We start from the raw sequence: 27,658 nt of genomic DNA on the forward strand, positions 1-27,658 counted from the left end.
GCCTGGGCAACAGAGTGAGACTCTGTCTCAAAAAAAAAGCAAAGCTAGGCATGGTGGTGCACACCTGTAGTCTCAGCTACTCAGGAGGCTGAGGCAGGAAGAGGGCTTGAGTCCAGGAGGTCAAGGCTGCAGTGCATTTTGATTATGCCTCACACTGAACATTTGCTGTGTATTTGCTATGTACCAAGCACTGTCTTAAGCACTTAATGTAGATTAATTCCTACATATAATATGCCCAGCAGCCTCTGAGGTAAATGATCCTACAGTCGACCCCTTATCCTCAGGTGATCTCCTCCAAACCCCCAGTGGATGCCGGAAACTGTGGATAGTACTGAACTATAGACTGTGTTTTCTCGATCTGATAACCAAGATGGCTCCTAGGTGACTAGTGGGTGGGTTGCGGATACAGCATAGACTTGCTGAACAAAGGGATGATTCGCATCCCAGGTGGGACGAAGCGGGATGGCACGAGATTTCATCACAGTAGTTAAACCAATGTGCAACTTAAAACTTACACATTGTTTGTTTCTGGAATTTTCCACTTAATATTTTTGGATCGCACTTGACTGAGAGTAACTAAAACCAAAGAAAATGAAACCACGGACTGGGGAGACTAACTGTATTACTCTCACTTTGTATATGAGGACGCAGAACCACAGAGAGGTTAAGACACCTGCCTAAGGCTGCACAGACAGGAGGTGGCACAGCCAGGATATGAATCAGGCAGCCAGGCTCCAGGGTTCATGCTGTCAATCACCCTGCTCTGCTGCCTGTCAGGAAGGGACCTTGGCCAGTGCCTGCTCCTCCCTTAACCTCCCGTCTCTACCCCGGCAGGTGGTAGGCAGCTCCCTCCTCTTCGTGCACGACCACACCGGCCTGGCCAAGGTCTGGATGATAGACTTCGGCAAGACGGTGGCCTTGCCCGACCACCAGACGCTCAGCCACAGGCTGCCCTGGGCTGAGGGCAACCGTGAGGACGGCTACCTCTGGGGCCTGGACAACATGATCTGCCTCCTGCAGGGGCTGGCACAGAGCTGAGCTGCTCAGCCACCATCAGGTTAATTGGATGGCGCCAGTCTGGCTGGAGGAGCCCTGAGATGCCATGGGAGGCCTGAGGTTGGCCACGGGGGAGCTGGCCTCCAGGGACGGGAGAGATTGTGTCATGTGCCACACGAGACCAACGTGGAAAAGTCTGAAGGGCCTTGGGAGACCAGGTAGCACCTGGCCCCATCATGATGCAGGGGTTTTGGGGACCTGGAAGGAAGGTGATGAGGCAGTGAGTCAGAAAAACCAGAACGGGGTCCCCGGATCTGCCGGGAAGGCTTCTGAGGGGCTGCCCTGAGAGCATTCAGTTCACATGTCACAGGGTATGGTGTGACAGGGTGCCTGTGGACACATGAATCACTTCTAACCTGCCTCCCTGTCAGCCTCCAGGCTGCCAGCTGGCTGAGGCCAGGGACTGGGTCAGGCTCATCTGTGGCGCCTCAGAGGGTCAGCATCATTGGTGAACAGATGCAGGCGCTGCTGGACCATCTGGGGAGAGTGACAGTCCATGTCTTCACCAGGGAGCCATTTGAGTGCTGAGCGACAAGAGGCTCAGAGGGCATGACCCCATGGGACTGGATGCGGCCTGAGGGCTGATACCGCTGGGCGGTATCCTGCCCTGCTGTGGCCCTGTGGGATCCTCCGTGTTCCTCGGCGGACTCTGCTGACCTCCTGCAGACCCAAACCACAGCCACATCCCAGCTTCTGTGCCAGCACTGTGACAGTACCTCGCTCCTCTGTGCACCAGATCCGGCCTCAGGACTTACACCTCCTGCCTGACCCCCAGGCTTCTCTCTCCTTTCTCCCAGCAAACTGCAGTGGCAGAAAGGAGGTTCAGAGGCTGGGAAAGTGGGCCTCCCCTTGCAACTCAGAGCTGCTGCACTCAGGAGGGCCCCATCCAATCCCGGGCCCCTGCAGGGAAAAGCGCTGGGTGTGTGTCAGAGGCGCAGGGTGGGTGGGGCTGCCAGCCAGGACCCTGGCCTGCAGCCTGATCCAAACCAAAGACTGTAGAACCCTGGGGTGTGGCTAACGGCCCCTCCAGCACCCATAGCCAGGTCTTCCTGGCCCTTGAGGCTGGGCTGGCGGACAGGCACCTACCTCTTCCTTAAGCTGAAGCTCCCACACTGTCTTCCAGGGCTGAGGAGATGCTCTCCTTTTCTACTGACCATCTTGATACTTATTTATACGAGAGGCAGTTGCTGGACGGGGTAGTACTGGGAAGCAGGAGGCAGAATGGCTCTGCTGAGCCTCCTACCCATGACAACACCCCAATAAACAGAACATTCAGAGCCAATGTCGTAGAGCTTTTTATTTTGCATCTGGAGTGTATTTGGACACGTGGGCTGGGTGGGGTAACAGGATAATGAGCAGTTTGGGAAAGAGGCAGGCTCCAAGCAGGCTGGTTCACTCACTTGGCAGTCACTGGGCGGCTATTCTTGTGCCTGGATGTGTTACAATGCAGGGGACACAGTGGTGAGCAAGGCTGCTCCAAGCCCTGGCTGGGATGGGGGATGCACAGACAGGCTGATCAGGGCTGGGATGGTGGACACGCATCCTCTTTACCCTGATCACTGGTTAGAAATACTGCACTGTGGCCGGGCTCAGTGGCTCACACCTGTAATCCCAGCACTTTGGGAGGCCGAGGCGGGTGGATTACTCAAGGTCAGGAGTTCGAGACCAGCCTGGCCAACATGGCAAAGCCCCGTCTCTACTAAAAATACAAAAAATTAGCCAGGCATGGTGGTGCATGCCTGTAATCCCAGTTACTTGGGGGGCTGAGGCAGGAGAATCACTTGAACCTGGGAAGTGGAGGCTGGAGTGAGCTGAGATCACGCCACCGCACTCCAGCCTGGACGACAGAACGAGACTCCATCTAAAAAAAAAAAAAGCAACAGTGCTCTGTAGTTTCCCTAAATGAGATGGGCTCAGTTAGGGACAGAGAAGTGATCCAGACAGGCCTGTTCCTCCTTCAGAGTGGAGGGGTCAGGTATTCATGAAGCTAGTAATCACACACACTCACTAGAAGTTTGTATAAGTGGACAGGAAAGTTTGTGGTCAGCACCATAATGTTCAGGGAGCCAGGAGACAGCCTGGCTGAGATACTGACTACCTAGCTTGAATCCTGACCTTGCCATGTGCTAGTCATGTGACCTCAGGCCAGTGATTCCACTTCTCCAGGCCTCAGTCTTGCCATCTGTCAAATCGGGTCCATCTAGCACCCCCCTTACAGGGTTGCCAGATCTGCTAACACAGGTAGAGGGGCTGGCACAGGTAACTGCTCCCAGATGGGCTTTAAAACTGTGAAGACATGAGGTGGGGGAGGGGTGTCTTGACTGGGGCTGCAGGACTCTTCCCTGAGGTAGTGATACCTGAGCCCCAATGGAAAAGTTAAGGAGTGATCCGCAGCAGAGGGCTGGGGGTGGGACTCAATGATCCGGGGATTTGAACAACACTTCAGGGATCTAAAAGGCCAGTATGACTAGTAGGTGGCAAGCATGAGGAAGACCTTGGGCTAAGGAGGGGTGAGCTGAGGCTGACGCAGTTCAGTGTCCCTGTCCTGTGAGAAGCAGAGGGCCCAGGCAGGAGGTTCCTCAAATGTCTAGTGAGATGACAGAGGCGGCCCCTAGTGAGAAACAGACGATGCGACATTCAGATGGAATAGGCAGGCCGCAGGGTCCGGGCTGTTGTCAATCTCTCCCTAGAGGGACCAGCTGGTGCTCAATACTGCAGGGGGTGGCCCTGATGAAGGAGGACTGGAGACCCCTGAGACCTAGCTTCAATCTTGTCGCCATCACACAGTGGGAGAAGTGTAGGCACACTTCAAATGGTTACCGAGCTAGGCTGCAGCCTGAGACCGCAGCCGCAGCTAATGGCTGCAGTCCTGTGGTGTGAGGAGCAGGGCCTGGCCACAGAGGCCAGCCCGTACCCCACCCACGGGCACCACGTACACCCGGCCGTCAGTGGCCCGTGAGGGCGAGAAGTCCGTCAGCTGCAGGTTGCTCTCCCGGACCTGGTCGTAGTCCCACAGCTGATAGTGCCAACTCTTGCCCTGCTTGGACAGCAGGTAGACAGCTCCCGGGGAGCCCTCCTCTGGCAGGGATGGTGGTTGGCAGGGCGTGCCCAGCACTGGGTGGAACAGGCCCGGCAGCTCAGGGTCCTCAGTGTAGCCGAGACTGGGCACAGCCCGAACACCCAGCAGGACCCCTGGGGGAGAGGAGAAGGTGGTGAGTGGCAGTGACTGAGCCAGGACCAGGTGCTGGGGCTCACTAAGTTCCGCCCTCTCCCGGCCCTCCAGGGTGGGTGCAGCTGCCATTCCTAGGTTACGGTGACGTTAGTGGTGGCCAGTGGGTTGGGATTTGGACCCACCGTGGCACCCGGCTCCAAAGCTGTAGGTGTTTTAAGTCTTGCCTCATCTGGCCTGAGCACAGGGGAGGTGGGGAGGCAGCATGAGATGAAGCAAATGCCGTCACCCGGTCATCCTCAGCTCTTTAGGGAAGAGGCTCCAAGAGGAGCTGTCAAGACCACAAAGCCATGAAGAAGCTGAGCGGAGCCTCCCCCGGACCTCCTGACGCGGACCAACCTGGCCTTCTTTCTTTCAGGCAGGGGGAATGATGAAAACGGTGCTGGTAATACTTACAGAGACATGTCACACGCCAAGCCCTGTTCTATTTTTTTTTTTTTTTTGAGATGGAGTCTTGCTCTGTCACCCAGGTTGGAGTGCAGTGGCACGATCTCAGCTCACTGCAACCTCCGCCTCCCAGGTCCAAGCAATTTTCCTGCTTCAGCCTCCCAAGTAGCTAGGATTTCAGGCATACACCACCACGCCTGGCTAATTTTTGTATTTTTAGTAGAGACAGGGTATCACCATGTTGGCCAGGCTGGTCTCAAACTCCTGACCTCAAGCGATCCACCCACCTTGGCCTCCCGAAGTGCTGGGATTACAGGCGTGAGCCACCGCGCCTGGCCAAGCCTTGTTCTAAGAGTGCTGAGTGCTCTGCCTACAAGGCAGCCTTATGAGGTGGGTACTGTTACCCCCAATTTCCAGATGGGGAAAGGAGCTGTCCAGAGAGGTGATGATACCTGCCCAGAGTCACAGAGCCTAGAAGAGGCTGTGCCAGGCCTGGAGCCCAGACGGTCTGATCCTGAAATCTGTGCTCTGAGCTTCTGTTTGTAGAAGCTCCAACTGGCAGACACCTGGGGCCCAGCCTGCCCGGTGCTAATGCTAAGTGCCCAGCCTGGCTGGGGAGGCACCAGCACAAGGGGTGAGAATGTCAGGAGGATTAATGGAGGCCGGGGAGACCCAGGTTGAGGGGTGCAGACAAAGGAGGGGGAACCCACCTGCACTCACCGCCCAGTGTGCCTTGTGGCCCTTCCTCTGACACGGCTCATGGTTGAAGTCCTCGTCGTAGCTGGTGCTGGCATTAAGGTAAAAACGATGGTGTGGCCCTGGGACCCACCCTTTGCCACCCCTGCCCTCCTCTCTCCCAGGCCCTGGGATACGGGATGAGCAGGGGATGTCCAGTGACCAGGTGCTGCAGGACGAGGTCTCTGTTGGGACCGCCCAGGCCACCAGAGAGCAGCTTGGCCTGGCAGCCCAGCACCTCCTGGGCCAGCCTGCCCATATCGGCCACTGCAGGGTGAGAGCACACAGAGGGGGCTTGCTGCATGTGCCCAGCACCGTGCTGAGGGCTCACAGTGGGCGATGCTTCCAACCCTCACCATGACCTTCCACCCCTTGGTACAAATGCAGAAAATGAGGCACAAAGAGCGTGAGTGGCTTGTCCATGGCCCCAGCGAAGAGGTGGCAGAGCTGGGTTTGCAACCTAGGCAGCCAGCTCAAGTCCATCTTGTAACCTCTCTGCTCTACTGGGCAGTGGGAAGGGCCCAAAGAATGGAATGAGACACCCTGACACACGGCTGCCAGCATCCCACCCAGCCTCTCTGGTCCCAGCCTCATGAAGAGATGATGGAGCATGCAGTCACCCAGCTCACCTGAGAACATCTCTCCCTGGGCCGTGTAGCCTCTTTCCGTGGCCACCCGTATGAGTCTCTCCAGGGGGACGCCACTGGGGGGCGACAGGAGAGTACCTGCCATCCACAAGGCCACCAGCCCGCATCTGGGGACAGAGAGGCCCAGCCTGTCAATCCTATGTCACAGCCCCCTTACCTGGAAGCTGGAGTTGGGGAACAGGTTTGCTGCCCTGGAGGAGTCCCCCTCCCCTCTCCCAGGCCAGCGAGGGAGACCTGACTCCCCTTCAGGGGAGAGCCCAGGGCTGGAGGGCTGGGGGTGGAAGGCGGGGGAGAGGTCACCTGAGCTTCCTGGGAGGAGGAACCAAGGTGGAGTTAGAGAGATGGACCAGGCTCATTCGTTCATTCCTCGCATGTCCCAACTATGTTTACTATGCAGGCACTCAGAAGCCTGAGTGGAAAGTTCCCCCTTTCCTTCCCTCCTCCTCCCAGCAGGGACAATCCACTCCTCTTCTCCAGATCAGTCCTTAAGAAGCCCAGCAAGGGCAGAGTAAAGGCAGCAGATGGGCTGGGGTTCCCGCATCAGGGCACATACTGAGGGCCTTCTTGGATGAGGGACGGCAGGTCTGCACAGAAGAGGATCCACCGCAGGTCACCTCGGAACCTGAAGCAGAGCCGTGCTCAGTCACCAGGGAGCCAGCTCTGAAGCACCCCCTACCCTGAGGTCTGGCTGGGAGTGGTCGTATCCAGGGATGATGAAGGGAATATGGGCCTGGCTGTCCTAAGGCTGAAGGCGGCTCCTGGTTCAGTCACTGACTTCCCCTCCCCAAGCTTCAGTTTCCTCATCTGGTTTGTGGGAATGGTCCTTCTGCCTGCCTGCTCCCTGCTCGCTCTCTCAGTTATTGAAGGGTGAGGAGCAAAGGGTGGCACTTTGCAACCAGGTTTATCTGAGGAAATTTCTCAAAGTGGTATCTCTATCTCCAACTCTTTTTCTTGCTCTGTTGCCCAGGATGGAATGCAATGATGCAATCAAAGCTCACTGCAGCCTCGACCTCCCAGGGTCAAGTTATTCCTCCTGCCTCGGCTTCCTGAGTAGCTGGGAGTATAGGCATGCACCACCATGTCCAGCTAGTTCTTTTTATTTTATTTTATTTTGAGACAGAGTTTTGCTCGTTTTGCCCATACTGGAGTGCAACAGCGCGATCTCAGCTCACTGCAACCCCTACCTCCCGGGTTCAAGTGGGTCTCCTGCCTCAGCCTCCCGAGTAGCTGGGATTACAGGCATGCGCCACCACGCCCAGCTAATTTTGTATTTTTAGTAGAAACGGGGTTTCACCATGTTGGCCAGGCTGGTCTCGAATTCCTGACCTCAGGTTATCCACCCACCTTGGCCTCCCAAAGTGCTGGGGATTATAGGCGTGAGCCACCGTGCCCGACTCTTTTTATTTTTAGTAGAGATGAGATCATGCTATATGTTGCCCAGGCTCCAAACTCTGTGATTTGTTTTTCGCTTCAAGTCTGTTTCCTGGGCTGTTCAACAATGAAAATCCCTTAACTGAACTTTGAATAAAACCAGGTAACAACATGCTTAAGGCCTAAAACATCACCTTGATAGTGAATCTTTGTACCCTGGGGGAGGCCACTCAGATAGTCTGGCCCTGAGGGATTCATTCCTTTTTGTTTGTTTGTTTGTTTGTTTTTTGGGACAGAGTTTCCCTCTTGTTGCTCCGGCTGGAGTGCAATGGTGCGATCTTGGCTCACCACAACCTCCGCCTCCTGGGTTCAAGCGATTCTCCTGCCTCAGCCTCCTGAGTAGCTGGGATTATAGGCATGCGCCACCATGCCTGGCTAAGTTTTTGTTTTTGTTTTTGTTTTTTTTTGAGACAGCTGGAGTGCAGTGGCCCGATCTTGGCTCACTGCAAGCTCTGCCTCCCGGGTTCACGCCATTCTCCTGCCTCAGCCTCCCGAATAGCTGGGACTGCAGGCTCCCGCCACCACACCTGGCTAATTTTTTGTATTTTTAGTAGCAACAGGGTTTCACCCTGTTAGCCAGGATGGTCTCGATCTCCTGACTTCGTGATTTGCCCGCCTCAGCCTACCAAAGTGCTGGGATCACAGGCGTGAGCCACTGCACCCGGCCCTTTTTTGTATTTTTAGTAGATACGGGGTTTCTCCATGTTGGTCAGGCTGGTCTCGAACTGCTGACCTCAGGTGATCCACCCGCCTCAGCCTCTGAAAAGTGCTAGGATTACAGGCGTGAGCCACCATGCCCGGCCTCCTTTTTTTTGTTGAGATGCAGTCTTGCTCTGTCGCCCGGGCTGGAGTACAGTGGTGCGATCTTGGCTCACTGCCACCTCCACCTCCTGGGTTCAAGCAATTCTCCTGCTTCAGCCTCCCGAGTAGCTAGAATTACAGGTGTGTGCCACCATTTCCGGCTAATTTTTATATTTTTGGTAGAGACAGGGTTTTGCCATGTTGGCCAGGCTAGTCTCAAACTCCTGGCCTCAGGTGATCTGCCTGCCTTGGCCTCCCAAAGTGCTGGGATTATAGGCATGAGCCACCGTGCCCGGCCCATGCTTATTATTCCTATTCCAAGGCTGGTAAGAAGGCAAGGTTCGGTTTGGGTGTTGGGGGGGTGCGGACTCAGAGCTCCTGGTTCCTAGTTTAGGGTACCCTCCTGATGAAAGATGATACCACATAAGTATGATTAAAAGCATGGAGGCCGGGTGCAGCAGCTCACGCCTGTAATCCCAGCACTTTGGGAGGCTGAAGCAGGTGGATCACCTGAGGTCAGGAGTTCGAGACCAGCCTGGCCAACAAGACGACAGCCCGTCTCTACTAAAAATACAAAAAATTAGCCAGGCGTGGTGGTGGGCACCTGTAATCCCAGCTACTCAGGAGGCCGAGGCAGAAGAATCGCTTGAACCCGGGAGGCAGAGGTTGCAGTGAGCTGAGATCATGCCACTGCACTCCAGTCTGGGCAATAAGAGCGAAACTCCATCTCTAAATAAATAAATAAATAAATAAGCATGGAGCCAGGCTGGGTGCGGTGGCTAACGCCTGTAATTCCAGCACTTTGGGTGGTCGAGACAAGAAGATCGCTTGGGCCCAAGAATTCAAGACCCAGCCTGGGCAACACAGCAAGACTCTATATCTACAAAAAAATATATATGTACAAAAAACTAGCCGGGCATGGTGGCGCACATCTGTGGTCCCAGCTATTTTGGAGGCTGAGATGGGAGGATCACTTGAGCCTGGGAGGTTGGGGCTGCAGTGAGCTGTGATCCAGCTACTGCATTCCATCCTGGGCAACAGAGCAAGACCCTGTCCCAAAAACAAACAAACAAACAAACAGCTTGGAGCCCTGCCGCCAGAGTTCAAATTGGACTCTTCCTCTTTCTGCACTATAGCTAAGGGGCATTATAGCTAAGGGGCTTCACTTCTATGAGCCTCAGTTTTCTCACCAGGAAAATGAGACAATAAAAGTTTCTACCTCATGGGGTTGTTGAGAGGATTCAGTAAATTAATATTTAAACACAACAGCGCCTGACATAGGGTAAGGCATTCAGTAAAAGGTGGCTGTAATTTGCATTAAATTTGCCTCATCTCAGTGGGGGCATTTAGGGAAGGTTATAAATGTGTCCGGAGGCCAGGCCCAGTGGCTCACGCCTGTAATCCCACCACTTTGGGAGGCTGAGGCAGGTGGATCACCTGAGGTTGGGAGTTCGAGACCAGCCTGGCCAACATGACAAACCCTGTCTCTACTAAAATTACAAAAATTAGCTGGGCGTGGTGGTGGGCGCCAGTTCACTCCAGCCTGGATGAAAGAGGGAAACTCCATTAAAAAAAAAAAGTGTCTGGAAAGCTTGGAGTTTCAATGTGAGTCCTGGCAAGTCGCTTCTCCCTCTTTTCTTCAGCCAGGCAATCACTAAACCTCAGCCTCAGGGCCCCAGCCTAGGTCTGGCACTCTCCTTTCCCCTCCCACCTGGGTCCCTGGATGTCCCAGTTTCCTCAAGGCTCCTAAGTACCACTTCCACAGGCAGCCTCCTTTTCTGCACAGAGCCTCTCCAGGGCTCCCCCGTGCCCTCAGGAAAGTCTCAGTCCCTTTGCACGACCCGCTCTGTCCTGCGTGGGCTGGCTCTGCCGCTTTCACAGCCCCATGTTTGCCACTTCCCCCGGCAAGTTAAGGACATATTTGCAGTTCCTTGAATAGAACATGTCCTCATTTCACTCCAGGCCCCTGCGCAAGCTGTATACTCTCATCACACAGCATTTGCACGACTTGCTCAACAGCACTCAGGGTTCCCCTTCTCCAAGAAGCTCCCCCTGACTCCCCAGCCTGGGTCAGACACCCCTCTGGGCTTTGTCATGACAGCCCTGACCACTCTGGGTTGTCACTGTCTGGAAAGGTGGAGGGATCTGTCTCTCTCACTAGACTGGGCATTTGCTCTTTTTTTTTTTTTTTTTTTTTTTTGAGACAGAGTCTTGCTCTGTCTTCCAGGCTGGAGTGCAGTGGCGCAATTTTGGCTCACTGCAACCTCTGCCTCCAGGGTTCAAGCGATTCTCCCGCCTCAGCCTCCCGAGTAGCTGGGACTACAGTTGCATGCCACCACACCTGGCTAATTTTTGTATTTTTAATAGAGATGCGGTTTCACCATATTGGTCAGGCAGGTCTCCAACTCCTGACCTCAGGTGATCCACCCGCCTCGGCCTCCCAAAGTGCTGGGATTACATGCATGAGCCAAAGCACCCGGACTGGACTGGGCACTTGTGAGGACAGCTTTCTTCATTGCTGGAGGCACACCACCATGGAAGAGATCTAGGTGGGGGACCTAAGTAGTCAGCCTGTTTGATCTTGAGGACACGGGAACCCCCCCCCCACCCCAAGAGATCTGTGAAGTGTCTAGGGCAGAGCCTGGGTGGTGGGTGGGGCATGGAGACCCTACCGGTCCTTGTGTAGTTTCAGAAGCCTCTTCACATCTTCTCTGCCCTTGGGGACCGGGCCGGCCTTATCAAAGGCCTCCTTCAGGAGCTGGCTCTTCTCCAGGCCGAAGACATGACGGGGAGCAGGCCCTGTGGCAGCGGGTGGAGGAGGCAGTGGGAGCGGTGGGGGAACAGGGGTCTGCTGACTCCAGGGAGGGGATGGTAAAGCTGAAAAGTCCAGGGGACTTGGGGGTAGAGGAGGAGATGGAATGCTGCTGGCTTGGGGTACAGGGGTTTTTGGAGGAGAAATTGGTGGTTTTAGGGGAGGAGAGCATGGAGAAGTCATTTTGGGGTCTACAGGAGGTGTTGAGAGGTTCAGAAAGCGGGGAGGGAAGGATCCTCCAACGGAGAACGGTCTCAGGGATGGAGATTTTAAAGGTTTAAGAGCTGAGTTCCAGAATCTGGGGACTGAGCAGTGGGTGTGAAAGGACCAGGGCTAATATTTGAAACCACGGGAGCAGGAATTGCGAGGCTGACTCAAGTCATAAGGCACCTGACGGTTAACAGGGTGGGGTCCTTAAATCCGGAACCGGATCTGTGGTACCGGTTGGGTTACCTCGGGAGTCTTAGGTGGAGAGTTAGTAGGAGTTAACTCATTCTTTGGGGCTGGATGTGGAAACTCATGAGTGAGTTTGGGATATGAAGGCTCAGATCTAGAGTGAGGTGCCTTAAGGATGCGACTTAGGGACCCAGGGCTAAAGATTCGGAGAACTTAGGTTCAGTACCCCCTCACATCCCAGGCCCGAGTTCGGAACCTTTGAGCTGACCTTTGAGTCAGAGGTCAAGAGGTCAAAAAGGACACCTGGCAGGGAAAATGGCCTAGTTGTGGAGAAGGTCCTGGAACCAGAGCAACAAAAAACGTCTGTGGGTTGGAGAAGACTCAGAGATCAGAGGCCGGTGGGCGCCGCGATAACCACTGGAAAAAGGAAAGGAGTCAGGAAGTAAAGTGCACCTCCCACTCCCGGAAAATGGCGGCCCCCGCACACTGCCTTTCCCATATCACGTGGTATTACACGCAACAGTTCCCGCCCATTTTGCGATCACGTGACAGAAAACGCAGCTCTGGCGGGGGTAAGAGGCGGGACTCCAAAAAGGATTGCCTCCGGAAGACACCGCAGCGCGAGACGCGTACAGACTCGTGACCTTCACTGATTGGTCCGTAGACCCGGGCGCCACGGAAGGAGGTGGGCTTTCAGGGAGTGGGGCGGGGTTTTTCTACCTAGGCGGGAACCCAAATATCGTTTTGATTGGCAACAGCTGAGCCCAGAAACGAGACTTGCTCTGATTGGTCAAGCTACTGCGTTTCCGCGCGGCGATTGGCTGGCAGAAAGGCAGAGGCGGGGCCAGGAGAGAAAGCTTTGTGGTTTGGTCTCAGGGAAGTAGCAGGCGCCGGTTGAGAGAACTACGGCCCTGTCGGAAGGTAACCTCCGGTGCAAACGACCATCGGCGGCAGGCGAGCGGTACGCTTGGCGTCCGGGCCTTCCTGGGCCCGTCTGAGGAAACTTGCTGCTCGAGGCCAGGCTGCCTAGGACCTGTCCCTTTTTTCTATACTGGCTCCCACATCCGGGTTTTTTCTCCGGGACGGCCCTTCGGATGCTTGGGCCAATGGGAATCGCCATTTAGGGTGCTCCGCCCACCGGGTCGCGTAGAGCATCCTGGAAGTCGTAGTAAATCTCTCGAGAGTTCTCTCCGCACGCGGGCTGGAGAAGCGGGTCCTACGCACGCTTTGTTGTCGCGCTTTGCCTCCGTCCTTGCCCCTACTCCCGCCTTACCTGACTTCCTTTTCGGAGGAAGATCCTTGAGCAGCCGACGTTGGGACAAAGGATTTGGAGAAACCCAGGGCTAAAGTCACGTTTTTCCTCCTTTAAGACTTACCTCAACACTTCACTCCATGGCAGTTCCCGAGACCCGCCCTAACCACACTATTTATATCAACAACCTCAATGAGAAGATCAAGAAGGATGGTGAGTTCTCGGGATAGTCCGGAGTCCAGACTGTCCCGCACGGGCTGGCCCCTCTTCCGTCCCCTGCACCCGCCTCTCTTTCTAAGTGTTTGTCCAGCCAAACTTCGAGTTAACTCCTTGGCCTTTACACAAACTACTTCCTGTCTTCAACACTCCATTAGTTCATCTTACACTCTGCCCTTTAACGTGGTCACTGCTGCTCATCTTACAAGGTTTGAGGTCACAGGACCCTTCCTCCAGGAAGCCTTGCCTTGTCCCTTCACGTGGCTGCCGCTGACTTGCCGTACGCTGAGACCATCTCCCATCAAGCCCTGATTCCTCTGAGCTGTCGTGGGGCTCTCTCTCCTCCCAGTGGCCTTTGAACTCCGTGAGGGCAAGGACTGGGGCTTTCTTGGTCACCGGCTTTTTCAGTGATCAGCCCACAATGAACATGTACCATAATGGTGGCTAACGCTCTGTATCATGGGCTGGTCTGTGTGCTTTCATATAAATCTTGATAACATTTAATTCTCACAACAATCTTGTAGGAAGAAGGCTATTGTTATTCCCATTCGTCAACTAAGAAACTGGGGCCGGGCGCGGTGGCTCACCCCTGTAATCAATCCCAGCACTTTGGGAGGCCGAGGCGGGCGGATCACCTGAGGTCGGGAGTTCGAGACCAGCCTGACCGACATGGAGAAACCCTTTCTCTACTGAAAATACAAAATTAGCCGGGCATGGTGGCGCATGCCTATAATCCCAGCTACTCGGGAGGCTGAGGCAGGAGAATTGCTTGAACCCAGGAGACGGAGGTTGCAGTGAGCCGAGATTGCGCCATTGAACTACAGCCTGGGCAACAAGAGCGAAACTCCGTCTCAAAAAAAAAAGAAAGAAAAGAAAAAGAAACTGAGACAGGGGTGATGTGACTTGCCCAGGGTCACATAGCAAGTAAAGTGGTTGAGGCCACCCGTATAGAATTCTGCTTAGGAACCCAATTTTTGGCCGGGCGTGGTGGTTCAGGCCTGTAAGCCCAACACTTTGGGAGGCTGAGGCAGGAGGATCACTGAAACACAGGAGTTCAAGATCAGCCTAGGCGACAAAGCCAGACCTTTTCTCTACAAAAAAAAAAAAAAAAAAAAAAAAGGCTGGGCGTGGGTGGGGTGCGTCTGTGGTCCCAGCTACTTGGGAGGCTGAAGTGGGAGGATCGCTTGAGCTAGAGAGGTTGAGGCTGCAGTGAGCTATGATTGCACCACTGCACTGCTGCCTGGGCTGAGCAAGAACCTATCTGAAAAAAGGAAAAAAAAAAAGAACTCAATTATTGAAATCGGAAAGACTCTCTCACATTCTCAAGTAAATTATCACCTTTATTGAACCTCATTTTCCAGATCTAAAAACTGAGCAAAATCATAATACCTTTTTTGCATGGATGTTGGGGGAGATTAAATTAGCTAAACCTTGCAGTATTTCTTTTTTATGGTAACTGGCAGCTAGTAAAGGGCTGGATAAATGTTAGCTCTTATCACTTCAAGAAAATTATCGGGAGAACCGAAGGAGCTTGTTGGGATTCAGTTTGAGGTTACCAGTGAAGTTGCTGTTGAAGAAAGCAAAACCAGCAGCCGGGCACTGGCTCACGCCTGTAATCTCAGCACTTTGGGAGGCTGAGGTGGGCAGATCATTTGAGGTCAGGAGTTCAAGACCAGTCTGGCCAAGATGGTGAAACCCCGTCTCTACTGAAAATACAAAAATCAGCTGGATGTGGCGGTGCGCACCTACAGTCCCAGCTACTCGGGAGGCTGAGCAGGAGAATCACTTGAACCCTGGGAAGCAGAGGTCGCAGTGAGCTGAGACCGCACCACTGTACTCCAGCCTGGGTGATAGAGACTGTCTCAAAAAAAAAAAATCAGGAGTGTAAATTTTGCATATGTTTTTTTTTTTTTTTTTTTTTTTTTTTTTTGAGGCAGAGTTTCACTCTGTCACCCAGGCTGGAGTGCAGTGGCACGATCTTGGCTCACTACAACCTCTGCCTCCCAGGTTCAAGCGATTCTCCTGCCTCAGCCTCCCGAGTAGCTGGAATTACAGGCACCCGCCACCACGCCTGGCTAATTTTTATATTTTTAGTAGAGACGGGGTTTCACCATGTTGGCCAGGCTTTTCTCGAACTCCTGACCTTAGGTGATCCGCCCACCTCGGCCTCCCAAAGTGCTGGGATTACAGGTGTGAGCCACCACACCCGGCCTGCATATGTTTTTAGAGTGTGGTGCCCAACCATTATCGGGCAGTGCTGGGGACACATTGGTGACATAGAACCCTGGTTTTTTGTTTTTAAATCTTATTTTATTTATTTATTTATTTTTGAGACGGAGTCTTCCTCTGTCGCCCAGGCTGGAGTGCAGTGGCACCATCTCTGCTCACTGCAAGCTCTGCCTTGCCTCCTGGGTTCACGCCATTCTCCTGCCTCAGCCTCCCGAGTAGCTGGGACTACAGGCGCCCACCAGCACACCCGGCTAATTTTTTGTATATTTAGTAGAGAAGGGGTTTAACCATGTTAGCCAGGATGGTGTTGATTTCCTGACCTCGTGATCTGCCCACCTTGGCCTCCAAAAGTGCTGGGATTACAGGCGTCAGCCCCAGCGCCCGGCGTTTTTTTTTTTTTTTTGAGATGAGACGGAGTGTCGCTCTGTTGCCCAGGCTGGAATGCAGTGGTGCGATCTCAGCTCACTGCAACCTCCGCCTCCCGAATTCAAGTGATTCTCTGCCTCAGCCTCCTGAGTAGCTGGGATTCCAAGCACCTGCTACCACGCTTGGCTAATTTTTGTATTTTTAGTAGAGACGGGGTTTCACCATCTTGGCTATGCTGGTCTCGAACTCCTGAACTGTGATCCACCCGCCTCGGCCTCCCAAAGTGCTGGGATTACAGGTGTGAACCACCGCACCCGGCCAGAACCCTGGTTCTTTAGGACAGTGACAGCCCAGAGTAGTCAGGGCCATCAGGCAGGAAGCTTAGGCAGAGTGTTGAGGGCTGGGATTGGGAACTTAGAAAGACAGAGAGATCCATTCAGCTTCCAGGAAAAGGAGACATTTTGGAGAGCCTGCCAGGTACAGTAAGCAGTATTTATGTTACACTGAGGGAGAAGAGCATTCTTAACTTGGTCCAGCTTGTTCAGATGTTTAGGGTCAAAAGAGCCTGGCGTATTCTGAGTATTACAAGTAGTTTTGAGGCTTGTAAATCATGGGGAAACTTCCAGTGAGCTGTGCACTGGTGGCTCATGGCTGTGAGGTGTTGGACTTTGCCCTGAGGGTGTTGGGGAGCCAGACTGCTTCCCTGTCCTGGCTGCCTCCCTGGTGGAATATCCTCCCAGCTGTGGAGGGTAAATGCGAATGGGCGAGGGGAGGCTGGAGAGTAGAGAGAGGCCCAGAGTCCCGTGGAATGAGTGAAGTCTGAGCAAGATTCATGGGGATGGAGTACGGAGAGGAAAACCAGAAATGTCACCACCAGGAGAATTTTTGACTAATTGCTTAAAAACAACCTTGACTGCTGTCCCTGCCCCCACCCAGCCTACACATTTTCTTGCTTCTTTCCTAGCCTGGTATCTATTTTACAAGTGGCTTCTGCTTCAGCTTAGCTTTTTTTTTTGAGATGGAGTTTCGATTTGTCACCCAGGCTGGAGTGCAGTGGCGCAATCTCTGCTCACTGTAACTTTTGCCTCTCTGGTTCAAGCTATTCTCATGCCTCAGCCTCCCCAGTAGCTGGGATTACAAGCGCCCTCCACCACGCCTAGCTAATTTTTTTTCTTTTCTTTTTTTTTTTTTTTTTTTTTTTTGGCATTTTTAGTCAAGACGGGGTTTCACCGTCTTGGCCAGGCTGGTCTTGAACTCCTGACCTCACGTGATCTGCCTCAGCCTCCCAAAGTGCTGGAATTATAGGCATGAGCCACCATGCCTGGCCAGTTTTTATGAAGGTTGGAGTCCAGTGGTGAGGTCATGGCTCACTGCAACCTCTGCCTCCCAGGCTAGAGTGATCCTCCCACTTCAGCCTCCCAAGTAGCTATGACCACAAGGCATGCACCACTATGCCTGGCTAATTTTTGTATCTTTTGTAGAGACAGGGTTTCACCCTATTGCCCAGACTGGTCTTGAACTCTTGAGTGCAAAGGATCTGCCCACCTCGGCCTCCCAGAGTGCTGGGATTACAGGTGTGAGCCACCATGCTTGGCCATCTCAGCCATCTTCTTTGCATAAGACATTGGTGCCCTTTGCAGACCTGGGTGGTGAGAGGGAGTCCATCCTTGTTGAGCTTGAATCTCACTTGCTGTCAAGTGATGCCCTTTGCTGGTGAGATGTGGTGGTACCGGGTTCAGATGGAATACGTGGACTGGGCTCTGCCATACGCTTCCTTATGCCCTCCAGATTGATGCCCTGGGCCAGTGAGGAATCCTCTGAGAACCTGTTTCCAGTAAAATTGGGACAGTCATAGTTGCCACCTAATGGGTTTGTTGTGAGGAAGTGAAGTTACCTCCATAAAGCATTTGATGGGGGTGCGATGACTCATGCCTGTAATCCCAGCACTTTGGGGAAGCCAAGGCAGGAGGATCACTGGAGCCCAGGAGTTCAAGACCAACCTGGCCAACATAGGAGACTGTGTCTACAAAAAATAAAAAATTAGCCGTGCGTCGTGCTGCGTGCCTATGGTCCCAGCTCCTTGGGAGGCTGTGGTGGGAAGATTGCTTGAGCCTGGGAGGTCAGGCCTGTAGTAAGCTACCATCATGCCACTGAACTCCACCCTGAGCAGTAGAAGGAGATTCTGTCTTTAAAAAAAAAAAAAGGCACTTGATGGTATCTAGTCAAATGTTTGCAGCCAGGTGTGGTGGCACACTCCTGTAATCCCAGCACTTTCGGAGGCCAAGGTGGGCTAATTGCTGAAGCTCAGGAGTTCAAGACCAGCCTGGGCAACATAGCAAGACCCTGTCTCTGCACAAAATCCAGAAATTAGCTGGGCATGGTGGCATACACCTGTGGTCCCAGCTACTCCATAGGCTGAAGTGGGAGGACCGCTTGAGTCCGGGAGGTTGAGGCTACGGTGAGCCATGATCATGCCACTGCACTCCAGCCTGGGTGACAAAGTGAGACCTTGTCACCAAAAAAAAAAAAAAAAAATTGTGGTGGAGTCTGTGCTAGGCTTGGCATACTGCAGTAAACAAATGGGACAGGCTTATAGCTCCTCAGGCAAGATAGACAAGTTAACGTACCATGACAGGAGGTGGGAAATAGTCATGAAAGAAAAGGAAGTAGAGTAAGAATGACATGGGAAGAAATTTAGACGTCGTGGTCAGAGGTGGCAACATTTCCTCTGAGACTGGGTGACTAGAAGGAGGCCACCATGTAAACCTCAGGGGAGGGATGTTCCAGGTAAAGAGAGCAGCCAGTTCAAAGGCCCTGGGGCAAAATTGGTGTGTCAGACCTGGGGGCCAGTGTGGTTGGGAACTCAGGAGGGCGGTGGAATGTGGGCAGGGATGAGGTGGGGGAAATCTGCCAGGGCCACGTCATGCAGGCCCATGTCAGGGTGCTGGTGGCAGTGAAAAGAATCACTCATTTATCGAGTGTTTACTACGTGCCGGATGCTGTCCTGAGCACTTTGCATGTATGTGCACATGTTCATTATATAGCAGCTCTCTGTAAGCACATCTTACAGAAGAGTAGAAGAGTGTACTTGGCCACTTGAGTGGTTCCTGGCTGCTTCTGTGATTGTTAGGTCTTGAGAGATTATGGACCCGAGGCATTCTGGGTACCCCATCAATTGGCTGATGGTCTTCTATTTGGGCTGCGCTTCTTCTAAAAAGGGGAGCTCAAAGGTCTTTTTTTCCCCCACTGCAGAGCTAAAAAAGTCCCTGTACGCCATCTTCTCCCAGTTTGGCCAGATCCTGGATATCCTGGTATCACGGAGCCTGAAGATGAGGGGCCAGGCCTTTGTCATCTTCAAGGAGGTCAGCAGCGCCACCAACGCCCTGCGCTCCATGCAGGGTTTCCCTTTCTATGACAAACCTATGGTGAGCATTGCGGGTACGGAGGCTGTGTGGGTGTGTAAAATGTTATAGGAGACTGGGCGGGCCTGGATTAGAGGAGGGGATATTACGGTTCATTTGCCAAGGTGAGGCTGGACCAGGCTCCCACTGCACCTTGCCTCATTTAAAAATCTTTTCTTTGGCCGAGGGCGGTGGCTCACGTCTGTAATCCTGGCACTTTGGGAGGCCGAGGCAGGTGGATTACCTGAGCTCAGGAGTTTGCAGCCAGCCTGGGCAACACCGTGAAACCCTGTCTCTACTAAAATACAAAAATTAGCTCGGTGTGGCAGCATGCACCTGTAGTCCCAGCTACTCCTGTGGCTGAGGAAGGAGAATTGCTTGAACCCGGGAGGCAGAGATTGCAGTGAGCCGAGATCCTGCCACTGCACTCCAGCCTAGGCAACAGAGTGAGACTCTGTCTCAGAAAAAATAAATAAATAAATAAATAAATAAATAAATTATTTTGAGACAGAATCTTCCTCTGTTGCCCAGGCTGGAGTGCAGTGGTGCAATCTTGGCTCACTGCAACCTCCACCTCCCGGGTTCAAGTGATTCTCCTGCCTCAGCCTCCTGAGTAGCTGGGATTACAGGCACGTGCCACCATACCTGGCTGATTTTTTTATTTTTAGTAGAGACGGGGTTTCGCCATGTTGCCCAGGCTGGTCTCAAACTCCTGAGCTCAAGTGATCTGCCTGCCTCAGCCTCCCAAAGTGCTAGGATTACAGGCGTGAGCTACTGTGCCACACTAAGAATCTTTAACATACCTTCCCCTACTGAATAAGCACCATGAAAGAGGGGTTTTTGTCTATTTTGTTCATTGCTTTATTCCCAGAGCCTTGAATGGCGCCTGGCATCTGGCAGGTTCTCCTTAAACAGCTAAGTGAGTGAGATTGAACCTGGAAGACTGAAGTATTCTTGTGTGACAGGAAATCCCCCTGCACTGCACTCCTCTCCTAGCATTGTCTCCTCGGTCCTTTGGCCTGATGTTTATTGCTGTTCCAGCTTCCCTTAAAAATACCAACAGCCTTTCTACTGAACACTTGCTTACTGTGTGTCAGGTACTGTTCCAAGCACTTTAACTCATTTAGTCCTCACAACAGTCCTTTGAAGTGGGAAGTATCATAATCCCCATTTTTCAGACAAGGAAGTTAAGGCCAAGATATTTCTGTGTTTCTCAGTAAGCTCCTGATAAGGTCTGAATTTTTTTTTGTTTGTTTGTTTTTTGTTTTTTGTTTTTTGCTCTGTTGCCTGGGCTGGAGTGCAGTGGTGCCATCTCAGCTGACTGCAACCTTCGCCTCCTGGGTTCAAGCGATTCTTCTGCCTCAGCCTCTTGAGTAGCTGGGACTACAGGTGCGCACCACCATGCCCAGCTAATTTTTGTATTTTTGGTAGAAATGGGGTTTCCTGGCCAGGCGCAGTGGCTCATGCCTGTAATCCCAGCACTTTCGGAGGCCGAGGTGGGTGGATCACCTGAGGTCAGGAGTTCGAGACCAGCCTGGCCAACATGGTGAAACCCTGTCTCTACTAAAAGCACAAAAATTAGCCAGGCGTGGTGGTGGGCGCCTGTAATCCCAGCTAGTAGGGAGGCTGAGGCAGAATTGCTTGAACCCGGGAGGCAGAGGTTGCAGTCAGCTGAGATCTCATCACTGCACTCTAGCCTGGGTGACAGAGCAAGACAATGTCTCAAAAAAAAAAAAAAAAGAAAAGAAACAAAGAAATGGGGTTTTGCCATGTTGGCCAAGCTGGTCTCCACCTCCTGGCCTCAAGTGATCTGCTCGCTTTAGCCTCCCAAAGGGCTGGGATTACAGGCATGAGCCGCAGCACCTGGCCCCTGATAAAGGTCCAATTTTGAATCTTGGCAATTGGGCTCTGAATCCACGCTCTTAACCCGTTCTGCTCTCTGTTTGGTAGCGTATCCAGTATGCCAAGACCGACTCAGATATCATTGCCAAGATGAAAGGCACCTTCGTGGAGCGGGACCGCAAGCGGGAGAAGAGGAAGCCCAAGAGCCAGGAGACCCCGGCCACCAAGAAGGCTGTGCAAGGCGGGGGAGCCACCCCCGTGGTGGGGGCTGTCCAGGGGCCTGTCCCGGTAAGCCAGGTCCCGGAGACCAACCCTCCCACTGCCAGACCTTCCTCAGCCACATGGACTGGCTTTGGGACAGGGTGGGGAGAGTTCTCCCCTTGGGGCTTCAGACCCCTCCTTTCCATTTCTTTATAGAGATGTGTTTCTCTCTCTCTTTTGGGGGGTATTGAGCACCTAGATGATGCTATCTCCTTTCGAAACTCTTGTTCCCTCCTTGTGACTGTTTCTCAAGGTCTTTCTTCATGGCTATGACTTGGTTTCGCTCTCTCCGTGGCCTTGATTTTGTCGCCTGTGTCTTGTAACTCATTGTGCATGTAGAAAATCCAAGTGTCTACTAAGCAACTGTTAGGATTAATAAGTGAACTTAAATTTAGAAAGATCGCTGGATATAAAGGCAATATGGAAAAAAATTAGTTTTATTTATTTATTCATATTATGTTTTGAGACAGGGTCTCACTGTCACCCAGGTTGGAGTGCAGTGGCGCCATCACAGCTCACTACAACCTCCGCCTCCCAGGCTCAAGTGATACGCCTCAGCCTCCCTAGCAGCTGGAACTGTCAGTCCGTGCCACTCCACCCAGCTAACTTTTGCATTTTTTGTAGAGACGGGGCTTAGCCATATCACCCAGGCTAGTCTCAAACTCACTGTCTCAGCCTCCCAAAGTGCTAGGATTACATGCATGAGCCACCATGGCTGGCCCCCAGTTTTATTTTTATATGCCAGTAACAGACCAGTAGACTTCACATTGAAAAGTAGCACTGAGGGGTAAATCCAACAAAAGGTTTGCAGAACGACTACACTGAAATCACAGAATGTAGCTGGGAGAAATCAGAGACTCAGCAATGGATAGGAAGACTCAGTATTGTCAAGAGGTCAGTTCCATCCAAATTAATTGAAGATTCAACGTGATTGCAATCAAAATCCCACCAGGAATTTCGGTAAACACTGGACACTGATTGGCTCTTTCTAAATGTGTGGAAAGACAAGGCCAAGCCAGGCGAGGAGAATAAAGCACCAGGACCTGCATGACCAGGGGAAGCTCCAGCAACCAGGCCAGGCCCAATGGCTCATGCCTGTAATCCCAGCACTTTGGGAGGCCAAGATAGGAGGATTGCTTTAGGTCAGGAGTTCAAGACCAGCCTCTATAAAATAGCAAGACCTCATCTCTACAAAAAATAAAATAGAAAACTGGGCGTGGTGACTCATTCCTGTAGTCCCAGCTGCTCAGGAGGCTGAGCTGGGAGGATCGCTTGAGAACTGGAGGTCAAGGCTGCAGTGAACAGTGGTTTTGTCACTGCACTCCAGCCTGGGTAACAGAGTGAGACCTTGTCTCTTTTTTGTTTTGTTTTGTTTTCTTTTGTTTTTTTTCGGGAGGGAGTCTCAGTCAATCTGTCTCCCCAGGCTGGAATGCAGTCGTGCAATCTCGGCTCACTGCAACCTCTGCCTCTCAAGTTCAAGTGATCTTCTGCCTCAGCCTCCCAAGTAGCTGGATCACAGGCACATGCCACCACGTCCATGTGCAAAAAAAAAAAAAAAACCTGCAGCAACCAACCAGGATGATATACAGTTGGCAGAAGGGTAGGAAGACAGACCAAGGGGACAGGATGAAGAGTCTAGGTACAGCTACACTTGTATAATTACTTGATGTGTGATCGAGGTACCACTGCACTTCACTGAGGAAAGGACTTTTTTTCCCCTAGTTCATGATGCGGGGCAGTTGGGTATCTGCAAGGGGAAAAAATTAGCCCTACCTCATACTATATGCAAAATATAACTTGAAGTGAATTGCAGATCCAAATGTGACAACTCACAAAATATAGTTTCTTTTCTCTTTTCTTTTCTTTTTCTTTTTCTTTTTTTTTTTTTTTTTTTTTTTTTTGAGACAGAGCCTCGCTCTGTAGTCCAGGCTGGAGTGCAGTGGTGTGATCTCAGCTCTCTGCAACCTGCGCTTCCTGGGTTCAAGCGAGTCTCCTGCCCCTGCCTCCCGAGGATCTGGGACTACAGGCATGTGCCACCACACCCAGCTAATTTTTGTATTTTTAGTAGAGATGGGGTTTCACCATGTTGGCCAGGCTGGTCTCGAACTCCTGACCTCAAGTGATCCGCCCTCCTCACCCTCCCGAAGTGCTGGGATTACAAGCGTGAGCCACTGCACCCGGCCCTCACACAATAAAGTTTCTAGAAGAAAACAGGAAAATGTCTAAATGACCTTGGTGAGGGCATGAAAAGTGGAAACATCCTGTTTTCCAAACAGGATACAAAAAGCACCGAGTACAAAAGAAAAGATGGATGAACCAGGCCCACTCCTTAGGTCTCTGAGCCTCCGTGTCTCTCTGGCTTTCATGAGTCTCATGGCTCTGACTGGGTCATGCTCTATTCGGTGCCACTCACACTTTCTCCAAGTTGGTGATGGTGTCTGGATTACTGTGGGCTCCTGTTAACCTCTCTCCTCTTCCCTGCACCTAGTTTTCTGTCCACTTTGGACTTCAGATTGTGATTCCAGCCCCTGAGTGTGCTGCCTGCCATCTGTTGTCTTCCCTCTTCCCCTTGCTGCCACGCGTTTTGTTCTGCACCTGCCCTGAGTGTCCCTTTCCATCACTGCCCTCCTTTGTTTTTGTTTTTGTTTTTTGAGACAGAGACTTACTCTGTTGCCCAGGCTGGAGTGCAGTGGTGTGATCTCGGCTCACTCCAACCTTCTGTTGCCGGGTTCAAGTGATTCTCCTGCCTCAGCCACTCTAGTAGCCGGGATTACAGGTGCCCACCACCACGCCTGGCTAATATTTGTATTTTTGGTAGGGGCGGGGTTTCACCATGTTGCCCAGGCTGGTCTCAAACTCCTAACCTCAGGCGATCCGCCTGCCTCGGCCTCCCAAAGTGTTAGGATTATAGGCGTGAGCCATCGTGCCCGGCCTACCACACATTTCTTTCTGCACCTGCCCTGACTGTCCCTTTCCATCTCTTCCTCTCCTTTGATTTTGTTTAAGAGACAGGGTCTTGCTCTGCCTCCCAGGCTGGAGTGCTGTGGCACAATCAGAGCTCACTGCATGCAGTCTTGACCTCCTGTGCTCAAGTGATCCTCCTACCTCAGCCTCACAAATAGCATTTAACTCTTTCTGATTTAATGTCCCACTAGACCCTGGGTTTGTTTTGCTCTGTCGGGCCCTCTTTGGGTGCCTTTTGCGCCTCTTTCTGGGTGTTTTTCCTTACATCTCTCACCCGCTAGGTTTCCTTTCATGGCCTCTTCTCTGCCTCCTGGGGCTGCTGTAACCACGCACTCTCCTCCCTCTCTCCACAGGGCATGCCGCCGATGACTCAGGCGCCCCGCATTATGCACCACATGCCGGGCCAGCCGCCCTACATGCCGCCCCCTGGTATGATCCCCCCGCCAGGCCTTGCACCTGGCCAGATCCCACCAGGGGCCATGCCCCCGCAGCAGCTTATGCCAGGACAGATGCCCCCTGCCCAGCCTGTGAGTATCTAGTCCCACCCACCAGGTCTCATATAAATAGTGAGAATACAGGACTAGAAAGGGACCAGTTGGGGGGCTGCTGTAGGTTGGGTGGTCTGGGCAGGCCCCCTGAGGAGGTGGTACTGAATGAGGAAGTAGCAGTGGGGGTGGGCCCTGGGCAGAGGAATTGGCATGCTGGTTGGAGGGTACGGAAGGTTAGGGTAGGCTGGAGTGGTGCCAGCACCTAGATTGATTCCATGAGCTATTGAGCGCCTCCTTACGTGCCAGGCCCCGTTCTGCACTGTAGGGCTGCAGCAGGGACTGAGATAGAAACCTCTGCTGTCCTGTGGCCTATAGTCTGTAGGGGCAAAGAGGTGGGAGGCAGACAGGCAACAGACAACAATATGTGGTATGTTGGGTGGAAGTACCAGAGTGAATTCAAGCAGGGTGAGGGATGGAGGAAGTGGCAGTACTATGGGTCTCCCACTGGACTCAGGGCTCTTGTGCTCACCGACTCCCCTATACCCCCGCAGCTTTCTGAGAATCCACCGAATCACATCTTGTTCCTCACCAACCTGCCAGAGGAGACCAACGAGCTCATGCTGTCCATGCTTTTCAATCAGTAAGTGGGGCCTGTGGCTGGGTGGTCCCTGGAGGGTGATGGCCAGGAGGCATCTCCATGGAAACAGGCCTCAGAACTCTGCCAGCAGAGCTCTGAGCCAAGTAGGGCTTTGCAGAAGGGACAGCGACCAAAGATGTGAAAGGAGGAGGCTGTGGCTGGGCCCACGGCCTGTGGGGGACATGGGGGTGAGGCTGGAAAGGTCTCCATGGCCAGGGCTTGCCGGCTTTTTTCAGCCTTGTTTGAGGGCTGAGGGAGTCCAGGCTCTGGGCCTCATTTTCCCAGCCCCTAAAATGGGGGCATGCAAGGCAAGGTATGTGTAAAACTGCATTGAGATGTCCTTGAACATTGGCTAAGACTGGCAGAAGTCAGCGTGCTCAGAAACAGCAAGTGTGGGAGATGGGGATGCGTGAAACTCTTGTGCCTGGCGTCAGGGTGGAGGCCGGTGCAGCCGATGTGTAGAGGGGCTGTTCACCATTGTTGAGTGAAGTCGTGGGTGTGGGTGAGTTCATCTGGTGGTTCTGTTTCAGGGGCTGTGAGTGGGGCATTCGTCAGTGTTTGTGGTGGGGAGTTGGAGGGTGTCTGGGAGAAGGGATGGCTACATGCAGCATCTCACCATGCTGCACTGCGTGGCACTTAGAAGAACAGAAAGCGCAACTTTATAATAGTGCCGAGAGAAGATTGTGAGAACCTGAAAAATACAGAAAAACAATACCACATGTGCAGCCTGTCCACAAAGCTGTATATTTTGTGAGAATGCCGATGGAAAAAAGGATACCTAGTAAACATGAGGATGGCTGCTTAATGGAGAAAGAAGTATGGAATGAGAAGAGGGAAATTAGAGAAACAGCATATCAGAAAAGTGAGGGTAAGGCCGGGTGCGGTGGCTCACGCCTAAAATCCCAGTATGTTGGGAGGCTGAGGCAGGTGGATCACTTGAGGTCAGGAGTTCGAGGCCAATGTGGGCAACTTGGTGAAACCCCTTCTCTCCTAAAAATACAAGAATAAAAATGGAAAAAGTGAGGGTATTGGTTATTTTTTTGGTGTGGCGGGTGGGTTATGATTTAGGAAGGGCCCAGGAGACTGCGGTGTACTGTTTCTTGATTTAGGTTGCAGTTGCATGGGTGTTTGTGTTTAAATTTTTCATTAAATGCTATGTTTACATTAGAGTTTTTCAACTTAGTACTATCTGCATTTTGGGCTGGATAATTCTGAGTAATGGGGCCCTGCCCTGTGCATTGGAGGCTATTTGGCATCATTTCTGGCCTCTGTCCACTTGATGCCGTTACGTTAGGGGGAAATGCTGAGTCCCTGAGGTCTGTCGTTCTCTTTCAGGTTCCCTGGCTTCAAGGAGGTCCGTCTGGTACCCGGGCGGCATGACATCGCCTTCGTGGAGTTTGACAATGAGGTACAGGCAGGGGCAGCTCGCGATGCCCTGCAGGGCTTTAAGATCACGCAGAACAACGCCATGAAGATCTCCTTTGCCAAGAAGTAGCACCTTTTCCCCCCATGCCTGCCCCTTCCCCTGTTCTGGGGCCACCCCTTTCCCCCTTGGCTCAGCCCCCTGAAGGTAAGTCCCCCCTTGGGGGCCTTCTTGGAGCCGTGTGTGAGTGAGTGGTCGCCACACAGCATTGTACCCAGAGTCTGTCCCCAGACATTGCACCTGGCGCTGTTAGGCCGGAATTAAAGTGGCTTTTTGAGGTTTGGTTTTTCACAATCATTTGTCTGTCTGATTTTCTTGCTCTTCATGGTTCCTTTCCCTCCACCTCAGCAGCACATCCTGGGTTTTTGGACCTCTTGGCATTTTGAGGTTTGCAACCTTGGGGAAACATAGGATAGTGTAGTAATATTGTTCAAACTCAGGTTACAATGACTACTTTGGCAGTTTTGTATGTTGTCCCAATTCACAGCAGGAAATGGAATCCTGGGTCAGGAAATGGAAAGTCAGGGCTGCCGCGTACAGTTAGGCAGGATGGGTACTGCACAAGAATGGCACCTTTTAAGGGCACACCATTCACTTTGTAGGCTTACAAGTTTATGCCACCACTTTTCTAACAGATGACAAGAGTGTTCAGGGAGAGGTGTTTCTTCACCTTTTTTTTACTCTTCTCAAAAGTGCAGCCTGTTGTAGCAATGGCCCCAGAGAAACCACAGTAGGTAGTTCAAACAGAAAGGAATTTAATACAGGAAACTTGGTGCTGCTGAAATCATGGGGCGTGTGGGTGGTAGGAGTGGCGGTCTGGGTTTGAGACTCTTGAGTTCGAGTTTGCAGCCCCCGAATGAGCTCCTAGCTAGAGTTCAGCGGGATGCCACTCTGGCTTCCGGCAGTGCCTGGACTCATTTGGTCACTCCTGGGAAGCTACTGACTTGATGCTGGTATGAGGGGTGTGGCCGCCTCACACACAGGTGATCTACTTTCCTGGCCAGTGGCCAGCCAGGAGCTTCAGGCAGGTGCCTGACCCCAATTCCCCTGCAGTGTCTAGCTGCAGGGAAGTCTAGGATATGTGA

The 27,658-nt window shown here is 52.5% G+C and overlaps 3 protein-coding genes across 33 annotated transcripts in view, besides 11 other annotated features; 2 read left to right on the plus strand and 1 right to left on the minus strand.

Annotated features, from left to right (window-relative positions):
- Window positions 1–2,338, plus strand: part of ITPKC (inositol-trisphosphate 3-kinase C) — a 23,749-nt gene extending 21,411 nt beyond the window's left edge. For 2 of the 4 annotated variants that reach the window (NM_025194.3, NM_001411098.1), the window contains one exon: window positions 835–2,338. In NM_025194.3, coding sequence (NP_079470.1) covers window positions 835–1,038 — 204 coding nt within the window. In that variant the 3' untranslated portion in view covers window positions 1,039–2,338. Of the gene's footprint in view, window positions 1–284 lie in introns of all 4 variants that reach the window. The other 2 variants (XM_047439466.1, XM_047439468.1) reach the window with 2 other exon arrangements.
- ACTMAP (actin maturation protease) lies at window positions 2,339–11,955 on the minus strand. 28 transcript variants are annotated; one of them, NR_148548.2, is made up of 9 exons: window positions 11,763–11,955; window positions 10,959–11,085; window positions 6,608–6,676; window positions 6,037–6,161; window positions 5,545–5,674; window positions 5,393–5,453; window positions 3,993–4,248; window positions 3,172–3,342; window positions 2,339–2,917 (listed from the first exon to the last, which is right to left on the minus strand). NR_148548.2 is itself a non-coding variant. In NM_001353808.2 (9 exons), the coding sequence occupies exons 4-8, from the start codon at window positions 6,137–6,139 to the stop codon at window positions 3,183–3,185; spliced, it is 720 nt and encodes a 239-aa protein (NP_001340737.1). In that variant the 5' UTR covers window positions 6,140–6,161; window positions 6,608–6,676; window positions 10,959–11,085; window positions 11,763–11,955; the 3' UTR covers window positions 2,339–2,917; window positions 3,172–3,182. The 28 variants fall into 28 exon arrangements, 24 of the variants coding, with proteins under 24 accessions (NP_001340737.1, XP_011525086.1, XP_011525077.1 ...); NM_001353808.2 differs by having other exon boundaries at window positions 5,383–5,453; XM_011526784.4 differs by adding an exon at window positions 3,551–3,667 and having other exon boundaries at window positions 2,339–3,342; window positions 5,383–5,453.
- Window positions 5,520–6,486: an enhancer, noted in NCBI's record as "H3K27ac-H3K4me1 hESC enhancer chr19:41249947-41250913 (GRCh37/hg19 assembly coordinates)". NCBI's record gives its function as "activates a minimal SCP1, AML or CMV promoter by ChIP-STARR-seq in naive H9 embryonic stem cells {active_cell/tissue: H9 hESC(naive)}" and the evidence as "EXISTENCE:reporter gene assay evidence [ECO:0000049][PMID:30033119]".
- Window positions 6,487–7,452: an enhancer, noted in NCBI's record as "H3K27ac-H3K4me1 hESC enhancer chr19:41250914-41251879 (GRCh37/hg19 assembly coordinates)". NCBI's record gives its function as "activates a minimal SCP1, AML or CMV promoter by ChIP-STARR-seq in primed H9 embryonic stem cells {active_cell/tissue: H9 hESC(primed)}" and the evidence as "EXISTENCE:reporter gene assay evidence [ECO:0000049][PMID:30033119]".
- Window positions 11,406–12,031: an enhancer, noted in NCBI's record as "NANOG-H3K27ac-H3K4me1 hESC enhancer chr19:41255833-41256458 (GRCh37/hg19 assembly coordinates)". NCBI's record gives its function as "activates a minimal SCP1, AML or CMV promoter by ChIP-STARR-seq in naive and primed H9 embryonic stem cells {active_cell/tissue: H9 hESC(naive and primed)}" and the evidence as "EXISTENCE:reporter gene assay evidence [ECO:0000049][PMID:30033119]".
- Window positions 11,723–11,962: an enhancer, noted in NCBI's record as "active region_14664". NCBI's record gives its function as "activates an Ori minimal core promoter by ATAC-STARR-seq in GM12878 lymphoblastoid cells {active_cell/tissue: GM12878}" and the evidence as "EXISTENCE:reporter gene assay evidence [ECO:0000049][PMID:35858748]".
- Window positions 12,163–12,302: a silencer, noted in NCBI's record as "silent region_10646". NCBI's record gives its function as "represses an Ori minimal core promoter by ATAC-STARR-seq in GM12878 lymphoblastoid cells {active_cell/tissue: GM12878}" and the evidence as "EXISTENCE:reporter gene assay evidence [ECO:0000049][PMID:35858748]".
- Window positions 12,503–12,572: an enhancer, noted in NCBI's record as "active region_14665". NCBI's record gives its function as "activates an Ori minimal core promoter by ATAC-STARR-seq in GM12878 lymphoblastoid cells {active_cell/tissue: GM12878}" and the evidence as "EXISTENCE:reporter gene assay evidence [ECO:0000049][PMID:35858748]".
- Window positions 12,567–12,749: a silencer, noted in NCBI's record as "fragment chr19:41256994-41257176 (GRCh37/hg19 assembly coordinates)". NCBI's record gives its function as "represses an EF-1alpha promoter that drives an FKBP-Casp9 reporter gene in an ReSE screen in phorbol 12-myristate 13-acetate-treated (for megakaryocytic differentiation) K562 erythroleukemia cells {active_cell/tissue: K562(+PMA)}" and the evidence as "EXISTENCE:reporter gene assay evidence [ECO:0000049][PMID:32094911]".
- Window positions 12,567–13,287: a biological region, named in NCBI's record as "NANOG-H3K27ac-H3K4me1 hESC enhancer GRCh37_chr19:41257087-41257714".
- Window positions 12,660–13,287: an enhancer, noted in NCBI's record as "NANOG-H3K27ac-H3K4me1 hESC enhancer chr19:41257087-41257714 (GRCh37/hg19 assembly coordinates)". NCBI's record gives its function as "activates a minimal SCP1, AML or CMV promoter by ChIP-STARR-seq in primed H9 embryonic stem cells {active_cell/tissue: H9 hESC(primed)}" and the evidence as "EXISTENCE:reporter gene assay evidence [ECO:0000049][PMID:30033119]".
- On the plus strand, window positions 12,681–26,867 carry SNRPA (small nuclear ribonucleoprotein polypeptide A). The gene is made up of 6 exons (NM_004596.5): window positions 12,681–12,959; window positions 18,810–18,982; window positions 20,909–21,088; window positions 24,379–24,552; window positions 25,065–25,153; window positions 26,486–26,867. The coding sequence occupies exons 1-6, from the start codon at window positions 12,887–12,889 to the stop codon at window positions 26,643–26,645; spliced, it is 849 nt and encodes a 282-aa protein (NP_004587.1). The 5' UTR covers window positions 12,681–12,886; the 3' UTR covers window positions 26,646–26,867.
- Window positions 13,288–13,915: an enhancer, noted in NCBI's record as "NANOG-H3K27ac-H3K4me1 hESC enhancer chr19:41257715-41258342 (GRCh37/hg19 assembly coordinates)". NCBI's record gives its function as "activates a minimal SCP1, AML or CMV promoter by ChIP-STARR-seq in primed H9 embryonic stem cells {active_cell/tissue: H9 hESC(primed)}" and the evidence as "EXISTENCE:reporter gene assay evidence [ECO:0000049][PMID:30033119]".
- Window positions 16,548–16,687: an enhancer, noted in NCBI's record as "active region_14666". NCBI's record gives its function as "activates an Ori minimal core promoter by ATAC-STARR-seq in GM12878 lymphoblastoid cells {active_cell/tissue: GM12878}" and the evidence as "EXISTENCE:reporter gene assay evidence [ECO:0000049][PMID:35858748]".
- Window positions 26,868–27,658: the final 791 nt, after the last annotated feature.

This window comes from Homo sapiens, chromosome 19 (genome assembly GCF_000001405.40).
Source record: "Homo sapiens chromosome 19, GRCh38.p14 Primary Assembly".
Lineage (NCBI taxonomy): Eukaryota > Metazoa > Chordata > Mammalia > Primates > Hominidae > Homo > Homo sapiens.

Coding starts and splice junctions, on each gene's coding strand:
- ACTMAP (XM_011526775.3), bottom strand. CDS start 11,281: ATGACTTCTCCATGCTCTCCTCCCCTAAAACCACCAATTTCTCCTCCA. Junction 5,675..6,036: donor CCAGGGAGAGATGTTCTCAG/GTGAGCTGGGTG, acceptor CTCACCCTGCAG/TGGCCGATATGGGCAGGCTG. Junction 4,249..5,382: donor ACACTGGGCGGTGAGTGCAG/GTGGGTTCCCCC, acceptor CCTCTCCCCCAG/GGGTCCTGCTGGGTGTTCGG.
- SNRPA (NM_004596.5), top strand. CDS start 12,887: ATGGCAGTTCCCGAGACCCGCCCTAACCACACTATTTATATCAACAAC. Junction 12,960..18,809: donor TGAGAAGATCAAGAAGGATG/GTGAGTTCTCGG, acceptor CCCCCACTGCAG/AGCTAAAAAAGTCCCTGTAC. Junction 24,553..25,064: donor AGATGCCCCCTGCCCAGCCT/GTGAGTATCTAG, acceptor ATACCCCCGCAG/CTTTCTGAGAATCCACCGAA.